Source organism: Homo sapiens, chromosome 1, assembly GCF_000001405.40.
Source record: "Homo sapiens chromosome 1, GRCh38.p14 Primary Assembly".
In the NCBI taxonomy this organism is placed as follows: Eukaryota; Metazoa; Chordata; class Mammalia; order Primates; family Hominidae; genus Homo; species Homo sapiens.
This window is the reverse complement of record NC_000001.11, coordinates 107,724,669-107,751,228: the sequence shown is the minus strand read 5'-3', so window position 1 is coordinate 107,751,228 and position 26,560 is coordinate 107,724,669. Positions and strand designations below refer to the sequence as shown.

General features: G+C 38.0%; 1 protein-coding gene across 13 annotated transcripts in view; it reads left to right on the top strand.

Annotated features, from left to right (window-relative positions):
* Positions 1 to 26,560, top strand: part of VAV3 (vav guanine nucleotide exchange factor 3) — a 394,020-nt gene that overhangs the window by 213,952 nt on the left and 153,508 nt on the right. For all 13 annotated transcript variants that reach the window (XR_007063680.1, XM_017000053.2, NM_006113.5 and 10 more), the window contains 3 exons: positions 27 to 112; positions 1,635 to 1,767; positions 2,152 to 2,261. Coding sequence is in view for 12 of the 13 variants with exons in the window: in XM_017000053.2 (XP_016855542.1) it covers positions 27 to 112; positions 1,635 to 1,767; positions 2,152 to 2,261 (329 nt within the window). In the remaining variant the exon portion in view is untranslated. The remainder of the gene's footprint in view (positions 1 to 26; positions 113 to 1,634; positions 1,768 to 2,151; positions 2,262 to 26,560) is intronic.

The window sequence follows — 26,560 nt, the reverse complement described above, 5'->3', positions numbered from 1 at the left end:
TCTGACATGTGCATTTTATATTTTAGAACCAACCAGTTTTGCTTTTTGGACGACCTCAGGGAGATGGTGAAATTCGAATAACCACTCTAGACAAGCATACCAAACAAGAAAGGTAAGAAAAGAAGAATACTATTTTCAAAATAAGTAATTAGTGTCAGAAAACTGAGAAAACCTTAAAGACAATTTTTCCAGTGTGAAGTAGGGGGAAAAAAGGAAGAAATACAAGGAGACAGACCAACCCATGATTTCTAAATTTTTTAAATCTAGATTATCTTAGGTATTCCCACCTGGGTTCTGGTATCTATTAGTTTGTCTAAGTTATTAAGAAGGAAGTAACAAGTATAGATGATCAGCTAGGATACATTAAAATGAGAAGAGCGATAAAGTAAGAACAGATAACTACCATAAAAACATAATTGAATTTTTGGAATATATTTTTAAATAACCAAAAATAATAGAAAAATGCCCTAAGAAAGAAGATTAAGTGAGAATCACGTAGTAATATTTTCTTGAGGGAAATTTGCAGATGTAGTTCTTGAAGATTAGTAAGCTTGGCCCGGAGTCCTTAATTATGTATATATGTAATCATCAAACAGAGGTTTTTGTGGTTGACAATGATTGTTTTCTGGAATCTTTGGAGAAGCGAAAGCCAGTAGGGGGCAGCATCAGCTCTTGCTTCTTCCTCGATAACCCTGGCTCCATAGGTCCTTTAAACCTCTCTGGGAGAAATAGACGTTAAAAGTGATGCAAGTGTTACAGCCCTGTGAATGTGTCATTATCATTGTGTATAAAAAAAATGTGTGTTAATCACTGAGAGTTTATAAAAATACACAAGTATTGGTATTGGATGATGTGGTTATAAGGTTTATTTTCTCCCCCAAGTTACGTTGTTCTTAATAAGAAAAAAGAAATATTAACATGGAAATTTCACCATAACGTTTTCAGTTTACACTTGGCTCATATACCATTCAGTTTGGGTTTTTAGGTGGCCAATTAAATCATGAGGAACAATATAGAGGGTAAAAGCACAGTTTCCAAAATTAGACCTGTTTGTGAATCCTGTTACATGCCTCACTAGCAGTGTGATCTTGAGCAAATTATCTAACTTCTCTAAGCCTCAGTTTCCTCCTCAATAAAATGAAGATGGCAATGATACCTTCCCAGCATGTGGTCTTGGGGATTTAAATTGAGTCATGTTTGTGAAAGGGATGAACACTTCTCAAGGCATTCTGGCTGATTCCTAGTAACTTCAGTAGAAGCTGCTACGGATGTCATTAATATTATTCTATAGGTTTTTAGCTTTTAAATTAAAAAAGATAATTGCTCATGAACAAACTTTATGGCTTATCTCACTTGGCCCTTTCAACAACTCTGCAGTGTGCATTTTACTCTTACTATGATTTTTGCCCATTTTTAAAATGAGGGAACCAAAGCACACTGAGGCCATTTACAAGGTAAAGGGAAATTCCACACACAGTTCTTATAACCTCAAATACCCCGTTGTTTTCAGTGTATGATACTACCTGTTGTCTTTAATGCAAAGAAAAAAACATTTGGTTGCTTTATACCCAAAAAAATTAATAACCCATGTTTCTAAACCATTTAAAATCAATCAATCAATCTCTTTTTCCCAGGCATATCTTCTTATTTGATTTGGCAGTGATCGTATGTAAGAGAAAAGGTGATAACTATGAAATGAAGGAAATAATAGATCTTCAGCAGTACAAGATAGCCAATAATCCTACAACCGATAAAGAAAACAAAAAGGTGACTTTTTGGAAACTAATAACTGTAATTTACTTATAATCTTGAACATTAAGGAAAAGTATGATAATACATTAATGTGAGATATGGCTTATCAATCCAGATGTTTTTGTTTCTAGAGATTGATTAGGTACATAACTTTGTGAGAAATAACTGGATAATGCCACAGCCAGATCTGATCATTTCTAATGCCCTAATGATCCAGATAATAAAACGCATTTGGCATAGAAATTGTTATAGATATGAAGTTGACTACAATAAGCTTGATTGTTCAGTTTGTACATTGATAATATTGTGAGGAGTTTTTGGATAGTTGTGGTATTCTTGTGAATTTAGAAACATGTTATTAATGATACATATTAATCTAAGGAATATTAATTTTAACAGTGGTCTTATGGCTTCTACCTCATCCATACCCAAGGACAAAATGGGTTAGAATTTTATTGCAAAACAAAAGATTTAAAGAAGAAATGGCTAGAACAGTTTGAAATGGCTTTGTGAGTATTTCTATTTTTAAAAGTGCTTTTATTTTTACTAGTTAAATCACTTATGAATAATGAACAACCAATAAGTGTACTCTAATGCTTGTAGCATGTATAATGTGTACAGCGACGGGAATGTTTTTGCTGTGAGCAGGAGTGCTACTAGGCTGCTGGCTGCTTGATAACTTTGGTCTCCTAGGAGAGGAGTTTTGTTGAATTCCTTCAAAAAGAAGAAAGAGGGAGCTCTAATCTTCTGTTTGACTTTCTTATAGGCATGTTTTAGTTCTTTAGCTCTCAGCAGCCCAAGAAAATATTAATTATTCTAATGATAAACTTTTTATGTAATAACTATATTTTTAAATTATATACCTTTAAATAGAAATGCCTCCAAGTGTACATACACAAACAGATATGTAAATGCATATATCTTATTTTTAATAGAAAGATTGAATTATTCTGTTTTAACTCGCTTATTTGAATCTTGGCTAAAATGCTTCGTGTATTTAAGGAATGCTTTAAGGGCTTGATTTCTTTAAGTGGCTTTTAGTTCCACTGAGGAGGAAGCTCAACAAAGAGGTAGAAAATAAATCAACCCTGTTTCAAAAGGAATGGCATTCTGAGACGTAATAACCAAGAACAGGTCATTATAGGTGTTTCTTTTTAGTTTTGATGTTTAAGGATTGAAAGGTACACAATGACCCTTTTTGTAGAAATATATAGGATACCCTGAAATAAAACTGTTAGCAAAAGGGGAAATTAAGGAAAACTACATTTGGAATTTGTTTCATTTGGGTTCTAAGATTATATACCATTTGTTGACAAATTCTGTCAGTTTTTTTTCTTTGTTTTAAGAAATGCTCATGTTAATGTAAACTAGAGGTAGGAATAGGATGTTTTATTGTGGTTCTGAAATTAGGAAAATAAAGATTCTCAAGGTTATTTTATCTAACATTTTAAGAGACAGGATTCTATAGCCAAACTATTTACGCTTATAAAGATTATTTACCAGTTGTTGACAAATTCTATCAATTTTTTTTCCTTGTTTTAAGAAATGCTCGTGTTAATGTAAACTAGAGGTGGGAGTAGGATGTTTTATTGTGGTTCTGAAATTAGGAAAATAAAGATTCTCAGGATTATTTTATCTAATATTTTGAAGACAGGATTATATAGCCAAAATATTTAAGCTTATAGTCAATTCTGGGTTCATCTATTATCACTGCCATGAACTGGCTGCATAATGAAAGCTAAGTTATTTAACCTCTCACAGCCTCAGTTTCCTCATCTGTAAAATAGGAATGATATTTATTTCAAATTCTAGGTAATATGTATCAGCAGAGAGCTAGCCAAATAGTACAATAGCAGCTACAGCTATGTGATATTGAACAATAGGTGATACCTATTATTATTGCTATTATTATTAATAATAATTGCATTTGGGATTCTAGTATACTTACAAGACTTATAAAACTACATAACATATTCTAGTATACTATTTTTTCTTTTTAGGAAGTCACTTGGAGTTAAACAATTTGAATTGGAGTGATAGGATGATTGGGTTAGTGGTAATATGCAAAGACAGAGCTGATCTCGAGCCTTTGCTCTTATATGCTAGGCTTTTTTTTTTATGGGTTTCGTTTGGCTATATAATCTTCAGATGAGTGAAGGAATGTCTGCAGAGAAGGAAATTGAATTTCATGTCCTAGAGCAGGCAGGTTCCTTGGACTGTATGACAGGCATGTCAGTTACTATTTTGTTCAGTTGCCATAAAACAAACAGTTAATTTGTGGATATGAGAGACTTGATGGCCAGGTGTGATGGTTCATGCCTGTAATCCCAGCACTTTGGGAGGCTGAGGTGGGCAATTCACCTGAGGTCAGGAGTTCGAGATCAGCCTGGCCAACATAGTGATACCCCATCTCTACTAGAAATACAAAAATTAGCCGGGTGTGGTGGCACATGCCTGTCGTCCCAGCTACTCGCAAGACTGAAGCAGGAGAATTGTTTGAACCTGAGAGGCGGAGGTTGCAGTGAGCTGAGATTGTGCCACTGCACTCCAGCCTGGGTACTAGACTGAGACTCCGTCTTGAAAAAAAAAAAAAAGAGATTTGACAAGATAAATACTATTGTCAGCATTTGACTTCTCTCCTTAAGAGTGGTTACCTTGTAGTCTGAGATAGCTGCTAGAGCTCTAGGTATAAAATTTATGTTCTAGGTAGCAGAAAGTAATCCCACTTTTATGGATTCCTTGTAGAAATACCACTCGCTTCTGTTACATAATACTGACCAACGTATAGTCATGTGGCCGCACCTGCCGAGGGAGGCTGGCAAATAAAACCTTTATTCTAGGTAGGATTCTTCCTGGCTAAGAATTAAGGTTCTTTTACTATGGAAGAAGGGAGGAATGGGTAGTTGTAGGCAACCAGCAGCCACCGCCTTACAGGTTTATACATATAGGGGTATGTACGGATTTAAATTGTTCCACCACAATAAGGATGGCTGCAGCACATGCACAGAACCTGGGTTTCTTAATCTTTGATTGTTTTCCAAGCATCTCAGCAATAAAATAACACACCAGTAGAAGTAGTTTTTGTTGTTTTAGAGTTCCGTTGAATGTCTATGCAGATATTGGGAGGGTAGAAGTATCTTTTTGGAGAATTGCTCAGAGTTGAAGTTGAGGGCTTCTATAAATAAGGGTTATATTATATATGGTTAAATAAAATCTGAGCAGGCATCAGAATATTCCATTGTTTTATTTCCTTCTTCTTTGAAGTTCATCATGTAGGAAAGCCCTGATAATGTCTGCTTCCAGCTTTGTAAGACAGGTTTTGCCTGTCTGATGCTCATAAAAATAGAATAATATAGGTAAATCCTGAAGTTTGATTTTGCCTATGGTTCAAATTTTGCTGCTTATCCATTATTAAATCTGTAGTACTCCTTTTTGATAAGTCATGGAGAATAAAAGAAAATAACTCCTGCAGCATCCATGACAATGCATGAAGAACAGCAAGCCTTGTGTATCTCCACAGGATGGCTTCTTCCCAGTGTCTTTAGTATCAACACGAGTCCCTTGAGTTCCCCTAGAGTGCTCTGGACTATTGCTTTAAGGAATTCTGAAAAGGAAAGGGAGGCATTGGTGAGAGGGTGGAGGGAAATCAAGGGAGCTGATATTTTTAAGAGTGTTGAAATGCTTGCCATTTCTATTTACAGAAGATGGCAATTCTGTTTATAGGATGATTGGATCATTTTTATTTAAAATTATTGCAAATCACTGTTAAGGCACTTAAAATACTATGTTAAGCCTCTAAATTAGGGCTCTTAATTTAGAACATTAAATAAGGCCATGGAAAAGCATGAACACTAATGAACAGTAAGTATCTGGTGAACATAAATATTCTCCCCAGAGGTGACCTAAATCTCAGCCTCTGTCTCTCGCAGTCATGTTCTCTGACCTTCTTTGGCCATAACCACTTCCAGCATTTAAAATATGCAGTGAACCACATTAGAACCTGACAGACCTCCATAGGAAAGGCTGAACAAAGAGAAAAGTAGCAGTGACCCACTTGGATACGGCAGGAGGATTCCCCCCCGCTTTTTTTTTTGTGATAAGTGGTAGCAGGACTGATATGTTCTTGAGGTTGTTGGAAAAGTTATTGAGCCAAATAGACCAAATAGAGTGCAAGGGCTGTAGTTCTGGGGGGCATAATGTAAATAATGTATTTAAATCTTTAAGAGGCTGATCGATATGCATTGCTTACTTTTATTTATTCCAAAAGGGTTTTATTTTTTTTTTGTCACTAACTGTCTCTCACAATTCCATTTAGTCATATGTGAAACAGGACGGCAAATGGTTTTATTGGGTTAAACTGGTTTTCATAATCATGCTGGAAAATATGGATATAACTGCCTATAGCAATGTTCAAAATTTTGTTAAGAAGCTATGGATATGTTTTCCCCAAATCCAATATATCCATTGTGCTTTTATGAATTTTTCTATGAGATTTAAATTAATAAACCTTGTCATACCCGTTTTGTAGCTCAGGAAACTAGCAGTCACAGGAGCATTTGAGCAAATGTGTACAAGTTTGATGCTGTATCATTTACAGTACAGTTGAGGATCTCAGTTCACAGGAGTTTCTTTATCCATAAGGGTGCTAAAGTAAGCAACTGGACTCAGATCTTGGCATCTAAAACTGGAGTCCAGGTTTTTTGTGTTTTTTGTTTTTGTTTTCTCACTGTGAATAGGATCTAGCAATCAGACAGTTTTCTTAAATGTCCCAGGAATAAGTTAAACCTGAGTAAAAAATAAAGAAGTATAATTGTATTTAAGTTGGTGCAAAAATAATTGGGGCTTTGCCATTACTTTTAATGGCAAAAAATGTTTGTTTGTTTTTTTAAAAAAAGAAAAGTTAGCAAAAGAAAAGGTAAAATAAGAGGCATACCATAAGCATCACATGTGGTAGAAACAGGTAGATTCAGAATTAGCCTTCATAGTGTTTTTTGAAGGGAAATGAAAGGTCCTCTTGCCTAGAATTTCTTCTGACCGACCTTGGCCCAGTTTTTGAAATTCTAACAATTCTCATTTACCCCCTTGAATGAAGAAAGACTCTTTGAGATGCATATGCCATCACTACTGTGAATATCTAAGATTTCTCGACTGTGTAATAAGTGCCTGGCACAGTTCTACATGGCTTACCTAAGGGAAAATAGCATAGAGGTCAGGCCTGTCTACTGAAATATTAGCCCAGGATGTTTATCTTTTAAACACAAGGACTAATGGTAGTGGGACGAAGAGAATGAGAATGGGGGATGGAGATTCTAGAGCTCTGGAGGGACTCTGGGACCAGGATGCACTATCCTGTTGGTCATCCGGAGCGGCAGCCCCTGCCTGAGCTTTGCATTTCCCAGAATGAGCCCTGAGAGGACCTTCACTGTTGGGATGGAGCAGGGAGTGAGAATGTAGCCGTTAAGCTCCACAAATCACATTTAATCTGAGGCACAGTGTTTCTTTCTAATTTATTCCCCATCTACTTCCAGAAGGAATTTGAAGTCACTCACAATAAAAAGCACACATGCTGCAGAATTAAAAAGAAAAATTTAAATAATCCGAGGTCAAATAGAACAGTGTTTCCAAGTATTATCTTCAAACTCAGGCTCCACTAGACAAGAATATTTTCTTGAAGTTTACTTTCTGTAGTTTATATGATAAAAACAAAAAGCATGTTTCTCACATTTCAAATCTAGAGTTATATTTCATCAAACATAATTTGTTTTAATCTAAAGATATTGCTCAGATATTTTGAATACCAGAGAGAGAATTACCAGAGGAAATTTTATTCATTCTGCAAATATTTATCGTGCACTTGCCTTGTTGCCAGACACTGTTGGAAGCCCTGGGCAAATAACAATGAGGGAGCCATTGCAATTGAATTTAAGTATTATTATTTCTAAATATAATAATATTCTGTTAATATATAATGGATTAAGTTTCAGGACTGAACTCTTGATATTTCTATTCAAATCATCTCTTCCTTTAACCCCATTTACTTAAGGATCAACATACAGAGTCCCAAGAATTACGCTTGATACAGCCCCCTCTCTCCACTTGTAATCAATCTCTCACCAGTCTCTGCACATCAAATCTGAATAGCTGCCTGAACTCTCCCTTGCCACCCCTGGTTTACGTCTTCTGCATGTCTCTTTAGCTATTCCCTACCTCTTCCCAACCAGTCCTTCTTCACAAGCATCAGAGTGATCTGCCCCTCTTAGAAAGCTCTGTTGGGTGTTTATTGTACTTGCTATAACACCAGAGTTTTCGCTAGGATGGAAGAAGGCCCTGACTGGTTTTATCCCACCCATCTTTCCAGCCCCATCTCCTATCAGTTTTCCCTGTGCTTGTTTCTTTTTTTCTAGTTAGATTGTGTGTTTCAGTTCTTAGAGAATGCCCAGGCCTCAGATATTCACACATAAGCTTTCCCTGCCAGGCCTGGTCTTTCCTCCTGTTCTTTGAGTAGCTGGTTCTATATCCTGCAGGTCTTGGCTGTAAATGTTACTTTGTGAGGGAGATCTCTCCTGACCCCTATGCTAAGTGAGTAATACCACCTTTTCTATATTCTCTCACAATTGTATTTATATTGCCAGACAAAAATTATCCAAGCATCCTGTTTACTGCCTTCTCTTCATCCAACAATCCCTCTGCCTGTTAGAATCTGAGGTCGTTTCAGTTTTACTTCTCTTTTCTCCTAAAGAATAAGGATTCTGTTTTGTTTATTGGAAGGGAAGTTAAGTTGAACCTCATGGTTAGAGATGTGGGAAAGGGGAAAAGAAAGCCTCGTGGATCTGGGAATGGAAAGAAAGTATTGGGTTTGTTTGGTGTGAGTAAGGCTCTGGGATAGCTATGGCATCTGAGAGATTTGAGAAGGGGAAAAGGCCTTTTGAGATGCAGGTGTTTGGAATCTCAATTTATCTTTCCTTTATGTTCTTTGAAATGCTAAGTAAAGAATGAAATTATCTTTTGTTTATTTTGGTGTACCTTTAGTGGCCCAAGGCTGAACTGTCTGGGCCCATGGAATATGGGGTTGCCATTAGATCTGTTTGCCTATTTAATGTCTGTTTCTTGCATGAGGGCAGGGATCTTGTCCCTGTTGTTCACATGCGTGATCTTTCATAGCACAGTATCATATTTTTGTTGTAAATTTGAAATTTTACTCTGTAAGTTTTCTGACAACCAAGACAAGTGGGAAAAAAAAAGACTTGATGAGTTGTGGCATTCTTATTGTGTGGCAAAATATTACAACAGCCCTTTGGAGGAGAGAGTTTTTCCTGTATGGTAAGAAGGCTATATAGTGTGGATCCTTAGGTAGGAGACATTGAAAAACATGTTCTCTACCAGCAGCATTAGATTTTTTGATATTCTTGAAGTTGATGCCATAGATGAGTATTTCTCTTTTATGTAAGCCTTCAACTATGTAATTGCAGTTTTGCTAAGGCATTTTTATAGACACCTAACCTGATGCTAGCCCTTCCAGATGTTTCTTTCTAGTAGTCTGGCTTGCTTGGATAAAATTTTTGGAACCAAGCAGGATGGGCAATTCTCATTTTATCTAGCCTGTCATTTAAGTAGCACTGATCTCACTCATTTGTATATTGAAAATTGTAGAAAATATGCAAGTCATATGGTATTTGGGGCCTCCTTGCTCCTTGGAGATGTAGACAGAGGTTAGCCCAGATTCCAGTTTTAGGGTCTGAGGTGCTCAAGGCCCACCTACATTCTCATATTTCTCTCTCTGTCCATGTTCTTGATTCACTGTGGCTTTTTTGGTTTTTGTGTGTGTGTATATATTTTTTTAATTTTCCCACCTGTCAGACCCAGGAGAAAGGATCTATGCCTTTTCCATTTTCCACCTGAAATCCATTCACAGTCTATTTTTTGTAATGCCAACAGGCGTCACAGTGGGGCTTATGTCATGCATGTGTTCCCTCGGCTGTTTCACTGGTCTTTGACACCCTCAGCAGCACCTGGAGCATGACCCTCCCCACCCTGCACTGCTCCCTGCAGAGGACCAGCACCCCTTGCCTCACCACCCCTTCAGGGAGCGGCTAGTCAGGCCGGACAGAGTGCCTCCCACACCCATCCTGGGATTTAGAGGAATAAAGCCATGTCATGTTACCCAGCAATTCAAAATTAAGCTCTCCAGTGAGTGTTTCAAAAGAAATTGGTCTTTGTTGTTAATTTTTGAAAGACCCATGTTTCTATTATTAAAGGTTTGGCAACAAATTTGACATTCAAATGTGAAAATTTAAAAGATTCACTTTGTTAATATTTTTGCCCAGATGGAGATGCCTACAGTATCTGCATGAAGCTGTCGGAGTTCTAAAGCAGGCCTAAGAAACAGCAACTACTACCGCTATGAGTACTGCTAGTCCTCTCTTCCCTTCCTGTCCCCTCCTCTCTCCTCTTTTTCATTTTCTTCATCAGGAGGTTTGTTTGGATCTTCTCAAATGTTTAAATAAGTTTCTGTTGAGACAACAAATTTCGTCTCTTAGAACAAGGGCCAGCAACATTTTGTTGTAGGGGGCCAGAGAGTAAATGGTTTAGGCTTTGTGGGCCATATGGTATCTGTCAGAGCTACTCAATTCTGTCATAGTTAACTACGAATGCAGCCATAGATTCACATAAATGAATGAGTGTGGTATGTTCCAGTAAAACACTAGTGGTTGTATTTGGCCCGTGGGCTGTAGTTAGTGACCCCTGTCCTACAGCACAAATAAGATGACTTAGGCCTAGAGAATTAGTTAATATATGTTACCACAAAATGATCTCAGCTATAATGAAACCACGCTGTGGCCTTTTGTAGAAGTGTGATTTTTTTTTTCTTTTATTTTTAGTATCAGTGATTCCTGCTTAGGCTATCATGATGATTTAGCTCCAAAATGTTTTTTAACTCCACCAAAAAAAACTATAAACCTGGATGAATTATCTATATTTGTCATTATTATTTTACTGTCTAATTGAATATTAAAAATGTCTGCTCACAGAACAGACTGTATCTATTCAATTTCTAGTTTCATTAAGTTTTATCACATGGTTTATTGAAAAGGACAGGTCCCACGGAGTCCAGGCCAGTAGCAGCCATGTAGTAACTTTTTCTCTATTCAGTAGTCAGCCATATCAACAAGAAGCATTTTTTTTTTTTTTTGAGATGGAGTCTTGCTCTGTCGCCCAGCCTAGAGTACAGTGGCGCGATCTCAGCTCAGTGCAACCTCCACCTCCTGGGTTCAAGTGATTCTCCTGCCTCAGCCTCCTGAGTAGCTGTGATTATAGGCACGCAACACCACACCCAGGTAATTTTTGTATTTTTAGTAGAGACAGGGTTTTGCCATGTTGGCCAGGCTGGTCTCAAACTTCTGACCTCAGGTGATCCGCACATCTTGGCCTCCCAAAGTGGTGGGATTTCAGGCGTGAGCCACCATGCCCAGCCAAGAAGCATTGTTTAATCAGTGATGCTCTTTGTGCTCTTGATGCATTTTCTTCCCAGCAGCAATACCATTTGTGCCTGTTATTTACTCTGAAATTTCCTCCCTGGAGGGCATACTAAGGAAAACCAGAAGGGGTAGAGGAAGCCTGTGGTGGTATCAAGAGTTGGCCAGAGGGGGAGCCTTCCTGGATGAGCTGGATGTGGGGATGACATTTTGTCACCTGCTTTGGCATTTTCTTAGTGTCCAAAGCCCGTCAGTGTCTGTTTGGAAACTGGAGGCCTTACTGGCATAATGGCCAAAATATGTCTATAAACTGTCTGTATATTTGTCAGCCCTTTTGGATTGTTTTTTGTTGAGAAATTATTTTCTCTAAAAACCTCACATTCTTCCTCCTTAAAATGCTTGCATGACCAGTTTTTAATGTGAAGAATTTGTTTATGGGTGCAGAATCCATGCCGGCACCATCAGTTGCCTCTGGGCTGTGCTGAGAGTCTCATGGTGCTGACCTATTCACATTAATCTCCCAAGTTGAAGCCAGCTCAACTCTCCCTGAATCTAATGTATTGTCTATAACCTTTCAAAATTGGCAGTTAAGTCAGGATAGGGAACTATACTGGCAGCAATAAAAGGAAGTAGGACACGGGACAGTGCTCAGAAAAATCACAGCTGTCATGAAATGGAGTCTTTCAATAGCCTGTTTGATCCGGAAACATGCGAAAGTATTTCATGCATGACAAAGGATTAGTAAATATTAAATAGTATTCTTGTTTTGTTATTGCCTAGTGAGGATCAAGCTCTCTCATTTTTCTCTGGTTATGTTTAATATGTATTTGATACTTCTTGGCATTCTTGAACATGCTTATGAGGAAGGAGAAGTCACAGGCAGGAGGAAGAGCAAAGGATGATATCGAAATTTCCATCAGCAAATAAGCATTACCCTGGTTAAAACTAAATGCAAATAAAATTAGTAAGCTGAATTAGTGTTTGTTTCCCTGAGGCTTTATAACAGAGCCTTTCATCTGTTGTTGTTTTTTTCTTTTTCTTTTTAAATGAACAATAATAGTACAGCCAGAGAGTTTAACCTGACAGTGGTGGTTACTGTGCTACTGTCTCCGGCTTGTCTGAGTAGTGTAGAGATTTGCTCAAAGAGTAAGATTGTTTTGGAGTTGTTTGTTGTACTAAGTCAACTTGGTATATGGTTTCCTCCAAGTATATGACAAAGTCTCCACTGCAGTGAATTCTATGATAATAATCAAGCTTTAACCTATAAGTCTAAACCTAACAGTTAGTGTGACATGTACTATTTTTAGGCTGCTTCTTGATAAGAAATGATTAGATCACAAGAATTACTACTTTGGGCTATACAACACAAAATAAGCTGCGATTGGAAACTGGCAATCCTTGCAATGGAAACGATGGGAGAAACTTAGTTTTTTGTCTTTATGGGGCAGTAGACAATAGCAGGCTAGTTGGGGAGATGGCAAGGAAGTCATACTTGAAACAATTTTTGAATAAGACTATGTATTGTGCATTTCACAATACATGCCCAGGAAGTGTTTTACACACTAGGGGTAGAGTGATAGACAAGTTCACTTCTCTTGTGAAGTTTGCATTGTAAAAAGACAATATATTTTCTTTTCTTTTCTTTTTTTTAATATGCTTTAAGTTCTAGGGTACATGTGCACAACGTGCAGGTTTGTTACGTATGTATACATGTGCCATGTTGGTTTGCTGCACCCATTAATTCATGATTTACATTAGGTTTTTCTCCTAATGCTATCCCTCCCCCATTCCCTCACCCCAGATGGGCCCCAGTGTGTGATGTTCCCCACCCTTCGTCCAAGTGTTCTCATTGTTCAATTCCCACCTATGAGTGAGAACATGCGGTGTTTGGTGTTCTGTCCTTGCAATAGTTTGCTCAGAATGATGGCTCCAGCTTCATCCATGTCCCTACAAAGGACATGAACTCATCCTTTTTTATGGCTGCACAGTTATTCCATGGTGAATATGTGCCACATTCTCTTAATCCAGTCTATCATTGTTGGACATTTGGGTTAGTTCCAAGTCTTTGCTATTTTGAGTAGTGCCACAGTAAACATACATGGGCATGTGTCTTTATAGTAGCATGATTTATAATCCTTTGGGTATATACCCAGTAATGGGATTGCTGGGTCAAATGGTATTTCTAGTTCTAGATCATTGAGGAATCGCCACACTGTCTTCCACAATGGTTGAAGTAGTTTACAGTCCCACCAACAGTGTAAAAGTGTTCCTATTTCTCCACATCCTGTCCAGCACCTGTTGTTTCCTGACTTTTTAATGATCGCCATTCTAACTGGTGTGAGATGGTATCTCATTGTGGTTTTGATTTGCATTTCTCTGACGGCCAGTGATGATGAGCATTTTTTCATGTGTCTGTTGGCTGCATAAATGTCTTCTTTTGAGAAGTGTCTGTTCATATCCTTTGCCTACTTTTTGATGGGTTGTTTGATTTTTTCTTGTAAATTTGTTTGAGTTCTTTGTAGATTCTGGATATTAGTCCTTTGTCAGATGGGTAGATTGCAAAAATTTTCTTCCATTCTGTAGGTTGCCTGTTCACTCTGATGGCAGTTTCTTTTGCTGTGCAGAAGCTCTTTAGTTTAATTGGATCCCATTTGTCAATTTTGGCTTTTGTTGCCATTGCTTTTGGTGTTTTAGACATGAAGTCCTTGCCCATGCCTATGTCCTGAATGGTATTGCCTAGGTTTTCTTCTAGGGTTTTTATGGTTTTAGGTCTAACATTTATGCTTTTAATCCATCTTAAATTGATTTTTGTATAAGGTGTAAGGAAGGGATCCAGTTTCAGCTTTCTACATATGGCTAGCCAGTTTTCCCAGCACCATTTATTAAATAGGGAATCCTTCCACCATTTCTTCTTTTTGTCAGGATTGTCAAAGATCAGATGTTTGTAGATGTGTGGTGTTATTTCTGAGGCCTCTATTCTGTTCCATTGGTCTATATCTCTGTTTTGGTACCAGTACCATGCTGTTTTGGTTACTGTAGCCTTGTAGGATAGCTTGAAGTCAGCTAGCGTGATGCCTCCAGCTTTGTTCTTTTTGTTTAGGATTGTCTTGGCAATGCGGGCTCTTTTTTGTTTCCATATGAACTTTAAAGTAGTTTTTTCTAATTCTGTGAAGAAAGTCATTGGTAGCTGGATGGGGATGGCATTGAATCTATAAATTACCTTGGGCAGTATGGCCATTTTTACGATATTGATTCTTCCTATCCATGAGCATGGAATGTTCTTCCATTTGTTTGTGTCTTCTTTTATTTCGTTGAGCAGTGGTTTGTAGTTCTCCTTGAAGACATCCTTCACATCCCTTGTAAGTTGGATTCCTAGGTATTTTATTCTCTTTGTAGCAATTGTGAATGGGAGTTCACTCATGATTTGGCTCTCTGTCTGTAATTGGTGTATAGGAATGCTTGTGATTTTTGCACATTGATTTTGTATCCTGAGACTTTGCTGAAGTTGCTTATCATCTTAAGGAGATTTTGGGCTGAGGTGATGGGGTTTTCTAAATATACAATCGTGTCATCTGCAAACAGGGACAATTTGATTTCCTCTTTTCCTAATTGAATACCCTTTATTTCTTTCTCCTGCCTGATTGCCCTTGCCAGAACTTTCAACACTATGTTGAATAGGAGTGGTGAGAGAGGGCATCCCTGTCTTGTGCCAGTTTTCAAAGGGAATGCTTCCAGTTTTTTCCCATTCAGTATGATATTGGCTGTGGGTTTGTCATAAATACCTCTTATTATTTTGAGATACGTTCCATCAGTACCTAGTTTATTGAGAGTTTTCAGTATGAAGGACTGTTGAATTTTGTTGAAGGCCTTTTCTGCATCTATTGAGATAATCATGTGATTTTTGTCTTTGATTCTGTTTATGTGATGAATTATGTTTATTCATTTGCATATGTTGAACCAGCCTTGCATCCCAGGGATGAAGCCAACTTGATCTTGGTGGATAAGCTTTTTGATGTGTTGCTGGATTCAGTTTGCCAGTATTTTATTGAGGATTTTTGTATTGATGTTCATCAGGGATATTGGTCTAAAATTCTCTTTTTTTGTTGTTGTGTCACTGCCAGGCTTTGGTATCAGGATGATGCTGACCTCATAAAATGAGTTAGGGAGGATTCCCTCTTTTTCTATTGATTGGAATAGTTTCAGAAGGAATGTACCACCTCCTTTTTGTATCTGGTAGAAGTCGGTTGTGAATCCGTCTGGTCTTGGACTTTTTTTGGTTGTTAGGCTATTAATTATTGCCTGAATTTCAGAGCCTGTTATTGGTCTATTCAGGAATTCAGCGTCTTCCTAGTTTAGTCTTGGGAGAGTGTATGTGTCTAGGAATTTATCCATTTCTTCTAGATTTTCTAGTTTATTTGCGTAGAGGTGTTTATAGTATTCTCTGATGGTAGTTTGTATTTCTGTGGGATCGGTGGTGATATCCCCTTTATCATTTTTTATTGCGTCTATTTGATTCTTCTCTCTTTTCTTCTTTATTAGTCTTGCTAGCGGTCTATCTATTTTGTGATCTTTTCAGAAAACCAGCTCTTGGATTCGTTGATTTTTTGAAGGGTTTTTTGTGTCTCTATCTCCTTCAGTTCTGCTCTAACCTTAGTTATTTCTTACCTTTTGCTAGCTTTTGAATGTGTTTGCTCTTGCTTCTCTAGTTCTTTTAATTGTGATGTTAGGGTGTCGATTTTAGATCTTTCCTGCTTTCTCCTGTGGGCATTTAGTGCTATAAATTTCCCTCTACACACTGCTTTAAATGTGTCCCAGAGATTCTGGTACGTTGTGTCTTTGTTCTCATTGGTTTCAAAGAACATGTTTATTTCTGCCTTCAGTTTTTAATTTACCCAGTAGTCATTCAGGAGCAGGTTGTTCAGTTTCCATGTAGTTGTGCAGTTCTGTGTGAGTTTCTTAATCCTGAGTTCCACTTTGATCACACTGTAGTCTGAGAGACAGTTTGTTGTGATTTCTGTTCTTTTACATTTGCTGAGGAGTGTTTTACTTCCAACTATGTGGTCAATTTTGGAATAAGTGTGATGTGGTGCTGAGAAGAATGTATATTGTGTTGATTTGTGGTGGAGAGTTCTGTAGATGTCTATTAGGTCTGCTTGGTGCATTGCTGAGTTCAAGTCCTGGATATCCTTGTTAACCTTCTGTTTCGTTGATCTGTCTAATATTGACAGTGGGGTGTTAAAGTCTCCTATTGTTGTGTGGGAGTCTAAGTCTCTTTGTAGGTCTCTAAAGACTTGCTTTATGAATCTGGGTGCTCCTGTATTGGGTGCATATATATTTAGGATAGTTAGCTCTTCTTGTTGAATTGATCCCTTTACCATTATGTAATGGCCTTCTTTGTCTCCTTTGATCTTTGTTGGTTTAAAGTCTGTTTTATCAGAGACTAGGATTGCAAGGCCTGCTTTTCTTTTGCTTTCCATCTGGTTGGTAGATCTTCCTCCATCCCTTTATTTTGAGCCTGTGTGTGTCTCTGCACGTGAGATGGGTCTCCTGAATACAGCACACTGATGGGTCTTGTCTCTTTATCCTATTTGACAGTCTGTGTCTTTTAATTGGGGGATTAGGCCATTTACATTTAAGGTTAATATTGTTATGTATGAATTTGATCTGTCATTATGAGGTTAGCTGGTTATTTTGCCCGTTAGTTGGTGGAGTGTCTTCCTAGCATTGCTGGTCTTTACAATTTGGCATGTTTTTGCAGTGGCTGTTACCGGTTGTTCCTTTCCGTGTTTAGTGCTTCCTTCAGGAGCTCTTGTAAGGCAGGCCTGGTGGTGACAAAATCTCTCAGCATTTGCTTGTTTGTAAAGGATTTTATTTCTCCTTCACTTAGGAAGCTTAGTTTGGCTGGATATGAAATTCTGGGTTGAAAATTCTGTTCTTTAAAAATGTTGAATATTGGCCCCCACTCTCTTCTGGCTTGCAGAGTTTCTGCTGAGAAATCCACTGTTAGTCTGATGGGCTTTCCTTTGTGGGTAACCTGACCTTTCTCTCTGGCTGCCTTTAACATGTTTTCCTTCATTTCAACCTTAGTGAATCTGACATTGGTGTTCTTGGTGTTCTCTGTATTTCCTGAATTTGAATGTTGGCCTGCCTTGTTAGGTTGGGGACGTCCTCCTGGTTAATATCTTGAAGAGTGTTTTCCAGCTTGATTCCATTCTCCCTGTCACTTTCAGGTACACCAATCAAATTTAGATTTGGTCTTTTCACATAGTCCCATATTTCTTGGAGGCTTTGTTTGTTTCTTTTTACTTTTTTTTCTCTAAACTTCTCTTCTCGCTTCATTTCATTAATTTGATCTTCACTCATTTATACCCTTTCTTCCACTTGATTGAATCGGCTACCGAAGCTTGTGTATGAGTCACGTAGTTCTCATGCCATGGTTTTCAGCTCCATCAGGTCATTTAAGGTCTTCTCTACACTGTTTATTCTAGTTAGCCATTCGTCTAATCTTTTTTCAAGGTTTTTAGCTTCGTTGAGATGAGTTCGAACATCCTCCTTTAGCTTGGAGAAGTTTGTTATTACCAACCTTCTGAAGCCTACTTCTGTCAACTCATCAAAGTCATTCTCCATCCAGCTTTGTTCCATTGCTGGCGAGGAGCTGCGATCCTTTGGAGGAGAAGAGGCCCTCTGGTTTTTAGAATTTTCAGCTTTACTGCTCTGGTGTCTCCTCATCTTTGTGGTTTTTATCTACCTTTGGTCTTTGATGATGGTGACCTACAAATGGGGTTTTGGTGTGGATGTCCTTTTTGTTGATGTTGATGCTATTCCTTTCTGTTTGTTAGTTTTCCCTCTAACAGTCAGGTCTCTCAGTTGCAGGTCTGTTGGAGTTTGCTGGAGGTCCACTCCAGACCCTGTTTTCCTTGGTATCACCAGCAGAGGCTGCAGAACAGCAAATTTTGTAGAACAGCAAATATTGATGCCTGATCCTTCCTCTGTAGGCTTCATCTCAGAGGGGCATCTGGCTGTATGAGGTATCAGTCAGCCCCTACTAGGAGATGTCTCCCAGTTAGGCTACATGGGGGTCAGGGACCCACTTGAGGAGGCAGTCTGTCCATTCTCAGAGCTCAAACACCATGCCGGGAGAACCACTGCTCTCTTCAGAGCTGCCAGACAGGGACATTTTAGTCTGCAAACGTTTCTGCTGCCTTTTATTCAGCTATGCCCTGCCCCCAGAGGTGGAGTCTACAGAGGCAGACAGGCTTGTTGAGCTGAGGTGGGCTCCACCCAGGTCGAGCTTCCCGGCCACTTTGTTTACCTACTCAGGCCTCAGCAATGGCAGATGCCCCTTCCCCAGCCAGTCTGCCGCCTTGCAGCTCAATCTCGGACTGCTGAGCTAGCAGTGAACGAGGCTCCGTGGGCATGGGACCCTCTGAGCCAGGCGTGGGTTATAATTTCCTGGTGTGCTGTTTGCTAAGACCGTTGGAAAAGCGTAGTATTAAGGCGGGAGTGTCCCGATTTTCCTGGTATAGTCTGTCACGGCTTCCCTTGGCTAGGAAAGGGAAATCCCCCAACCCCTTGAGCTTCTTGGGTGAGGCGATGCCCTGCCCAGCTTTGGCTCGCCCTCTGTGGCCGCACCCACTGTCCAACCAGTCCCAGTGAGATGAACCAGGTACCTCAGTTGTAAATGCAGAAATCACCCGTCTTCTGCGTCAGTCACGCTGGGAGCTGCAGACCGGAGCTGTTCCTATTCGGTCATCTTGAAACGGCTGCCCAAGACTTATATTTTCAAGTCAGCATTATAATGTTGATGCAAAGCAGTGATAAATTGCAAGGTATATGAAACAGATTATACTACACATTGTTTTGATCTGTGGAGAATGGGATTAGAAATTTCAATGTAGAAAAGTCCTGTGCATGTGATGCTGATGGACAAATTTTCAGAGTTATTGGGCTCCTGGGCATCTAAGAAAGGCATTTGCAACCAAATATTTTTTCTCTTCACTTAGAAGTAAGTTGTTGTAAGTTAAGTGTATATGCTTTCGCTTCAAATAATTAGGAAAAAGGTGCCATTTGACACCAATATATAATTTAGAAAAACTGATTTGTCATAGTTGTTTTTTCCCATCGATTCTGAATACCTTTTCATAATGGTCAAAATCTTCAGAAACTATACAGTTTTATAAATTCATACATTCTCTGAAGAGGAGATTAAAGCTCCTCCATTTTAACAATTCACTGCTTGAGTCTTTCGTACAACTTCTTTCCAAGTATATGCTGTGCTTGGATGCCTCTTGTGATGAGGGACGGACTGCCTCTGAAATTGCTTGTTTTATCTTTGGTTAGCTTTCACTGTAGAAGATTCTTCCTTATAATGAAGAAGATTTTACTATAGAAGATTCTTATAATAACTGGAGAAGATTCTTCCTTATAATGAGTTTAAATTCTTTGTCTGTTAAAGTATAATTTCCTAATATCACTTCTTGGGCCCAAATAGAACCTATCTAACTCTTCCTTACCTGGAAATCTTTCAGATATATGAAGATTGCTATCCCTCTAAGTCCAGGCTTAAAACATATTGTTTTATGAATAAATGAAAAGAAACTTAATTTAGGAAGATTCTTTCATTAACGTAGCTTACCAGTGCTAATGAGGATCAGGTAAAAGTGTGGATACATTGAAAGTTTCATTTCACCTCAGAATTATAGGCAGGGTACAATGAATGCTAGATGCTGTTGTCCTCACAAAGAAAAGTAAATAGAACAGTTTATCTTTTTGAGATGTTTAGAAGTCAGTTTGGAGACTTCTGATTGAATTGTGCATAGCATTTTAATATTCTGCTTTTGAGTATTTAAAGGATGGCTTCAGATTTTAATACTTTAATGTTAAGAGTATTTAGAGTCTGGGACATGTAGTGATAATTCTTTGCTGTTATATCGTGCTTTACAAGTAGTTTCCAAAGCATTTTTGGATAATGCCCAATCTGATTCTTAAAGAGTCTGGTGAGGTAGCTAAGAAGGTATTATTCCTTTTAAAAAATGAGAAAATAGTAGAGAGATTAAGTATTTTTTCATTTCCTTAGCAAATGACAGAAGCTGAGCTTGCATCTCAATCTGGGGCTTTTTCTCTCATACCATGCTGCCTCATTTGTAGCAAGAACACCTACTGTTGTTTTCTAAAGATGAAAGTTTCCTTTTCAGTTTGTTTTATAAGCAAGAGGTATTCCTGTGTAGCATATTCATTCACTAGATGAAAAATATGATTTAGAGTTTAAATACTTGCACTTATTTTTCAGTGATTGCTGTTGGGTAAGAATTTGATATTTTTATAAAATCAAATAATAAGTAACATTGTGTATATTATTAACAACCATCTGTAAGGATAATTTTTGCTTCAAAGAATTTCCTTAGAGCAAAGTAAACCAAATCTTAATTTACAAGTTAATTTATTTCAAGATTTTTTGATCACTTTATTTTATCACAGTCTAATATGATTTTGAGCCTTATATGATTAATGCAACGGTTTGATTTTATTTGGTTTTGTGGTGTTTTCTTCTCCCAGTTATTTAGATAAGATTTTAGTCTCAGAGTTTAAGTTCTGCTTTTAGAAGTAAAGGAACTGAGAAGGAAAGCCTCATGGTCTGAGGCTAAGCCCTGGCCAATTATCAGGGTGGATTCAGATGATCGTTAAATAAATATGTGTGTTTCTTTCCATCCAGAACTTTGGTAACATTGGATGTTTTTACATAAGTTGCTGAAGGTATGGACACAGTATGATAATGCTGTCATCCTTCTCCTTCAGGGTACACTTTAGACTGACCATTGACTAGCTTCTCCTTCCTGGGGAGAACCAAATTTGAAGTGGTTATCTAAACCATGTGTTTGACCCGTCACTTATTAAAATAGTAGACTTTCTTCTAAAATGTTCCTCTAAGAAAACACTGAAGTTTGGGAGTTCAAATTTTTGCCCTCAAAGTAGCCAGACTATTCCATTGGTCGATGGTGGTCCCTGATTGTTTAGTCCTGTCCACATATTGTTATTTATCTGTAACATCACTATCTGTACAAAGCAGCTGGCTCTTTGAATAAAGAAAGGTAATTTCAAAAGCCACAGTGCCCTACATTAATGATCTCTAAAATAAAATTTTTGACTAAAAACAATACTCTTTATCGTTTGTTATGGTAAACAACAAAAAATAATTTTTGTATTTATTATTTTTCCAATCTTTCCTTGTATCAGTCCAATGAGATAATTCATATTTTCTGACATTAGCATTGTATTCCAAGCACAATGCTATGCTTTGGATGCTCATCTTGTTAAATAATCACAAAATTATGATGGAGCAGTTTATCCTGTTTTAGCAAATGAGAAAATTCAGGACCAGAAATGTAAGTAACTTGCCTGAACCACACAGCTCATCACAGAACAGGGATTCCGTACCCATGCCCCTTCAGTGCACCATGTCGTAGGACATCCTTTTCCATTCTTTTCTTTAGAGAGTTTGTTGTCCAAATTGCTGGTAAGGAATAAAACTCATGTTTTTTTTTAAACTCAGGTTTTCTATCTCCTAACCCCAAACTATAGACTTTCTGCATTTTTCTTTGTTTCTTTTCCCTTGGATAACAACAGCAACCAGAAACACAATTCTCTCATCTATTATCATATACCAAATTTGCCTTATGTAGTCTTTGACTAATGACTTGTTGGTCAGAATGAACTCAGGGATCTGTTCTCTGATAGTACATTAATAATATATATGCATTAAAGCTTCTTCTCGGAGAATATTTGAGCTTTGACATATTGAACACTGGCATTTTAAATTAAAGCTGTTGCTGTCAGTGCATTTTAAAAACTAGATAGCTTCGAAATAGTGTTTCATACATAACAAAATATACCTGAGGTCATAAGTAGTTTGCTAAGGCAAAACTATGCCTGGCCTGGTTAATTGTAGTAGGGGCTTGAATAGAGTTTTCCAATTATCATGACCTAAACATCTTTCAGACTGAGAAAAAAAACTAAACTGTTTTGCAGGGCTTTGATTTACTAGAAGAAACACCATAGAGCAACCTAATGGATTTTCTGCATACTGTCGGAGCTAGGAATAATGAATTTAAAACTATTCTGAATCCTTCAAGACAGGAGAGTATCAAGATTAAAATGATACTTGGTGACAATTATAATTCTATAGTTGCGCCCTCGGCTTGCATTATTGTTTCTTGTCTTGCAAACACTTTTGTATCAGATTATATTAGCTAAGCAGTCTTTTTGCTTGTGGCATTAGACTCATGCAAGTTTATAAGTAGTGTGTGTTAAGCCTTTCCCTTTGTAGAGCTGATTTGGGGACACGGTTTTACACAATACATATACATATACATATACATATACATATACATATACATATACATATACGTATACGTATACATATGACTGTCCTCATGAAGATTTTTTCTGTAGGGCAGTGTAATAGAAAGAATCCCCGATTGGAACCACAGAGGTCATGAGCAACACCCACCCACCCTCACTCCTGCTATTTTATAGATAGATCAATTAACAGATTATTTTTCCCTCAAATGCCACTATACTGGATGGTCTCAGACTTCGTATCCAGTCAGACCCAGAAGACTTCCTCTACAGAGTAATTTGCCCAAAGCCACAGGAGTAGTAAAGAGTGGAACTGAGACTATTAAAGGAACCAGGTCCTTTAATCCCTGGTGATTCCTCTTCATTTAGAACAGATCTTGTGTTAGTGAGTACCTTTCCCTAAAATGGGGGTCTGACTCTTTGCTCTATATCTTTGTCATGAAAATCTGCCAATTCCCTGTCCAGGAGCCAGTGGATTTGGGACAGAGGAGGAAGACTCAACCAACCTCCAGTGGATATTAGCAATAGGACCTGTTTTTCCACCATCTGTTTGACATTAATGTACTGCTCGCTGTTGACATTGCAGATTTATTTCCAGCAGGCCACTCCTGACTCCTGAATACTTGATACTAGCATGAAACTTTCTAATTGCAGGATACAGTGAAATCCAAAGTGAGTTAGAAATTTAATTAAATTTCTTGCTTGTTTAATTGTTTAATGTGTCGCACAGTCCAGCTTGCAATTCCATATTCAATTATAATGAAACTCCCCTTAGATTGAGTTTGTCTTGGGGTTTGATGGTGAGTCTAAAAAGGGTATTGATGCTTTAAGAGAATCCTTGGTTTTATAAAATTTCAGTGTAAGGGATTGAGTGTTTTAGTATTAGGTTTGTATTGACTCTTGATATTGACACAAGTCTAAATGTGCAAAGCCCACAAAGGCTAAATCCCATAGGCTTATATTTAATTTAAAATATGGCTAGCTGGCCATTTTGAATATACTTGCTAGGTTGACAATCTGAATACTTGACTGATTGGGAAATAGTCAAATATTAATTTTAAATGTTCATTAGTAGACTGTTTGTAATTGGTTTTTAAATTCATTTGGCAAATGAGAATTCACATTTATTTAAAATTGCCAATAAACCTGATTTCATAAAGGTGTTTGGAGGTTAAATGCCTAATAATTAATTTATGCCTAAGTAATATTTTTAATAATTTAGAGGAAAGTTAAAGCAGCTGAGAATAATGTTAATGATGAAAAGTAATGAAGGCTTCAAGATTCCAAGATTTAATTGTGGAGATCATATTCATCATCTTAAAAACAGAATAGGAAACTGGATGGAAAAGACATTTTAGTGGAGCTTAAAAAATGCTGGTCAAGGAGAACAAAATTACGAAAGAACCCAAACCCTATCACTGACTTGGCCATGGGACCCAGGCAAGCCTGTCTTCTTCTCTGAAACTTAATTCATCCATACTTGAAGAGGGGTTTGAAAACTATTTGTAATCTATTTTTGTTTTGCATGGCAAAAGAAGGTAGAGGAAGTGTGGAGGTTAATTTAATTGTGATACAAAAATAATGATGTAATCAAATCCTCTTTTATTTCTACCCAACCGTTGTTATGATGTTTTTCTCTTGGGCTTATTCTTTTTTTATTTTCAAAAATAATGTTAGATGATTATTACTCATTGTGTGAGTGTGTGTGTATATGTGTATACATGTGTTTGTGTGGATTTACACACTAGACAATGATAGCATGGTCCCTTTGGGAAGATTAAGGTGATGACATGCTTTAAACTTTGTGTACCCACTCTGTAAACCATCAGTAAAATTCAATTAGCAGGCTTTATTCCATCTGTAGAAATATAATGATGCTAAAATAATCAAAATCTATTTAATCAATTTCATTATAAATGAAGGGATTGCTTGCATTCAAAATCTTAATAAAGGAAACGAGGTTGGTAGTCTATGCTGATTCAGTAAAACATATCGTATCTTGCAAAGCCAAAGAAATTAACTGTAAACCCTTGATCAAAAAGCACAGAAAGTGTGTGATCCAGAGAGCTTGATAACTGCTAGCTTTTAGTGAAGAAGGCTTTTTGATGTTACAAGCACAAGAAGCCAGAGCGTTATTATGTAGATAATTGATTGATTAATTTAATCAATGACTTTCTCAAAGATGGTTCTGAGACATGACTGGGAAAACTGAAATGAGCCAGCTGGCCATTGGCGGTCCACACCTCTCCATGAAAAGTATCTGCAGAGCGCCTCTGCCGGAGCACAGAGGACTTTCTGGCGGAATTCCTGTAGCTTGTGTGAGGATCAAACCTAAGCAGAGTTTAATGAAATTCTACTTTGGAGTGATTTGTTTATCTTCTGTGAGCAATTTCTTTCTTTCTTTTTATAGGTTGATTGATTTATCTGTATGTGTATTCCTCAGTGCTTTTCCTTGTCTGAACCAAAAGTGCTTTGCAAATATCAGAGCTCAGATTTTTAAAAGATCATTGATTTTTTTCAAATATCCTGAAGGTAGGCTGTCACACATTATTATTTAATTCTGAGATAGGGATATTGATAGCATAATATTAAAATCTTTCATTAGAGAATTTTTTTTTGGTCTAGCAATAACCTAAATTCGAAGGAGTTTTGTTTTCCTTCATCTATCAGAATTGTTATTTAAAAGTACCCACTACCCAGGACAGTATGGTTACTTTGTTGCCTTCAGGAAAGGGAATATTGTCATTGGCTTAAAACATTCTACTGTGACTGCCAGATATTATAGGTGCCCAGGAGACCCAGGAAACAGGCCTTTGGTTAGCTACTGAAATTTGCCATCTGGGCACGGTGGCTCACACCTGTAATCCCAACACTTTGGGAGGCTGAGGCAGGCAGATCACCTGAGGTCGGGAGTTTGAGAGTAGCCTGGCCAACATGGTGAAACCCATCTCTACTAAAAATACAAAACTTAGCTGGTGTGGTGGCACATGTCTGTGATCCCAGCTACTCGGGAGGCTGAGGGATGAGAATCACATGAACCCAGGAGGCAGAGGTTGCAGTGAGCCAAGATTGTGTCACTGCACTCCAGACTGGGCAACACAGTGAGACTCCATCTCAGAAATAATAATAATGATGAATTTGCCTAGCATAACCAGCTCTTCAAAAGTTTGGTCAAAAGCCGGTAAATGCTTAGTATTGTGTAGACGTTCCACAGTGTCCCTCTCACTCTCTTTACTTTCGGCTGCATATTTCCACTTGTTATCACCATCTCTGTGGAAAGCTCCATTCAGGATCAGCAATCTTCTTGATTCAGAGGACCATTCATGATGTTAAGGATCTGCTAGTGATGACACCAGTCACACAGAACAATCATGAGGAGGAAGAATATGGGGAAGTCTTTACCATTTCCTCCTGGGCTACTGTTAGCTTCTTACCTGGTCTCCCTGCTGCCATTGTAGCCACCTGACTCCCAACTGACTGTTGTAAGAGTGACCTCTCTAAACCGACATGCCCCTCTCCATGGTTTTATCATTTCTGATTCCTTTATTCACTCCTGATGTCACTGTCTTGCTTTAGGTCTTCAGGGTCTTCTACCTAGATTGCTATGGTCATCTCTATAACTGTCTCCCTGTCTCTCACCTCACCCCTTCAGCATGGCTGCTAGAGTTTCCTAAATACAAATATGATCTGGTTATCTGCATACAGTCCTTTAGTAGTCACTCCTTGGCCACAGAACAAGATCAGATTTCTGGAGTATATGCACAAATGGCATTTACTATCTGGCCTGTGCTCAGCTCTAGCCTTTTTTTTTTCCCCCCACCACATCCAGTGTTGCAACCAGACTGAATTCCTTCCTGGCAGCTTCCAGAACATGCCAGGCTCCTTTATACCTCTGCACCTTTCATCATAGTGTTCTTTACTGGCTCGGGATCTGTTCTCTGCTGAGGTGTGCTAGGGAACATCTATTTATCTTTTAAGAC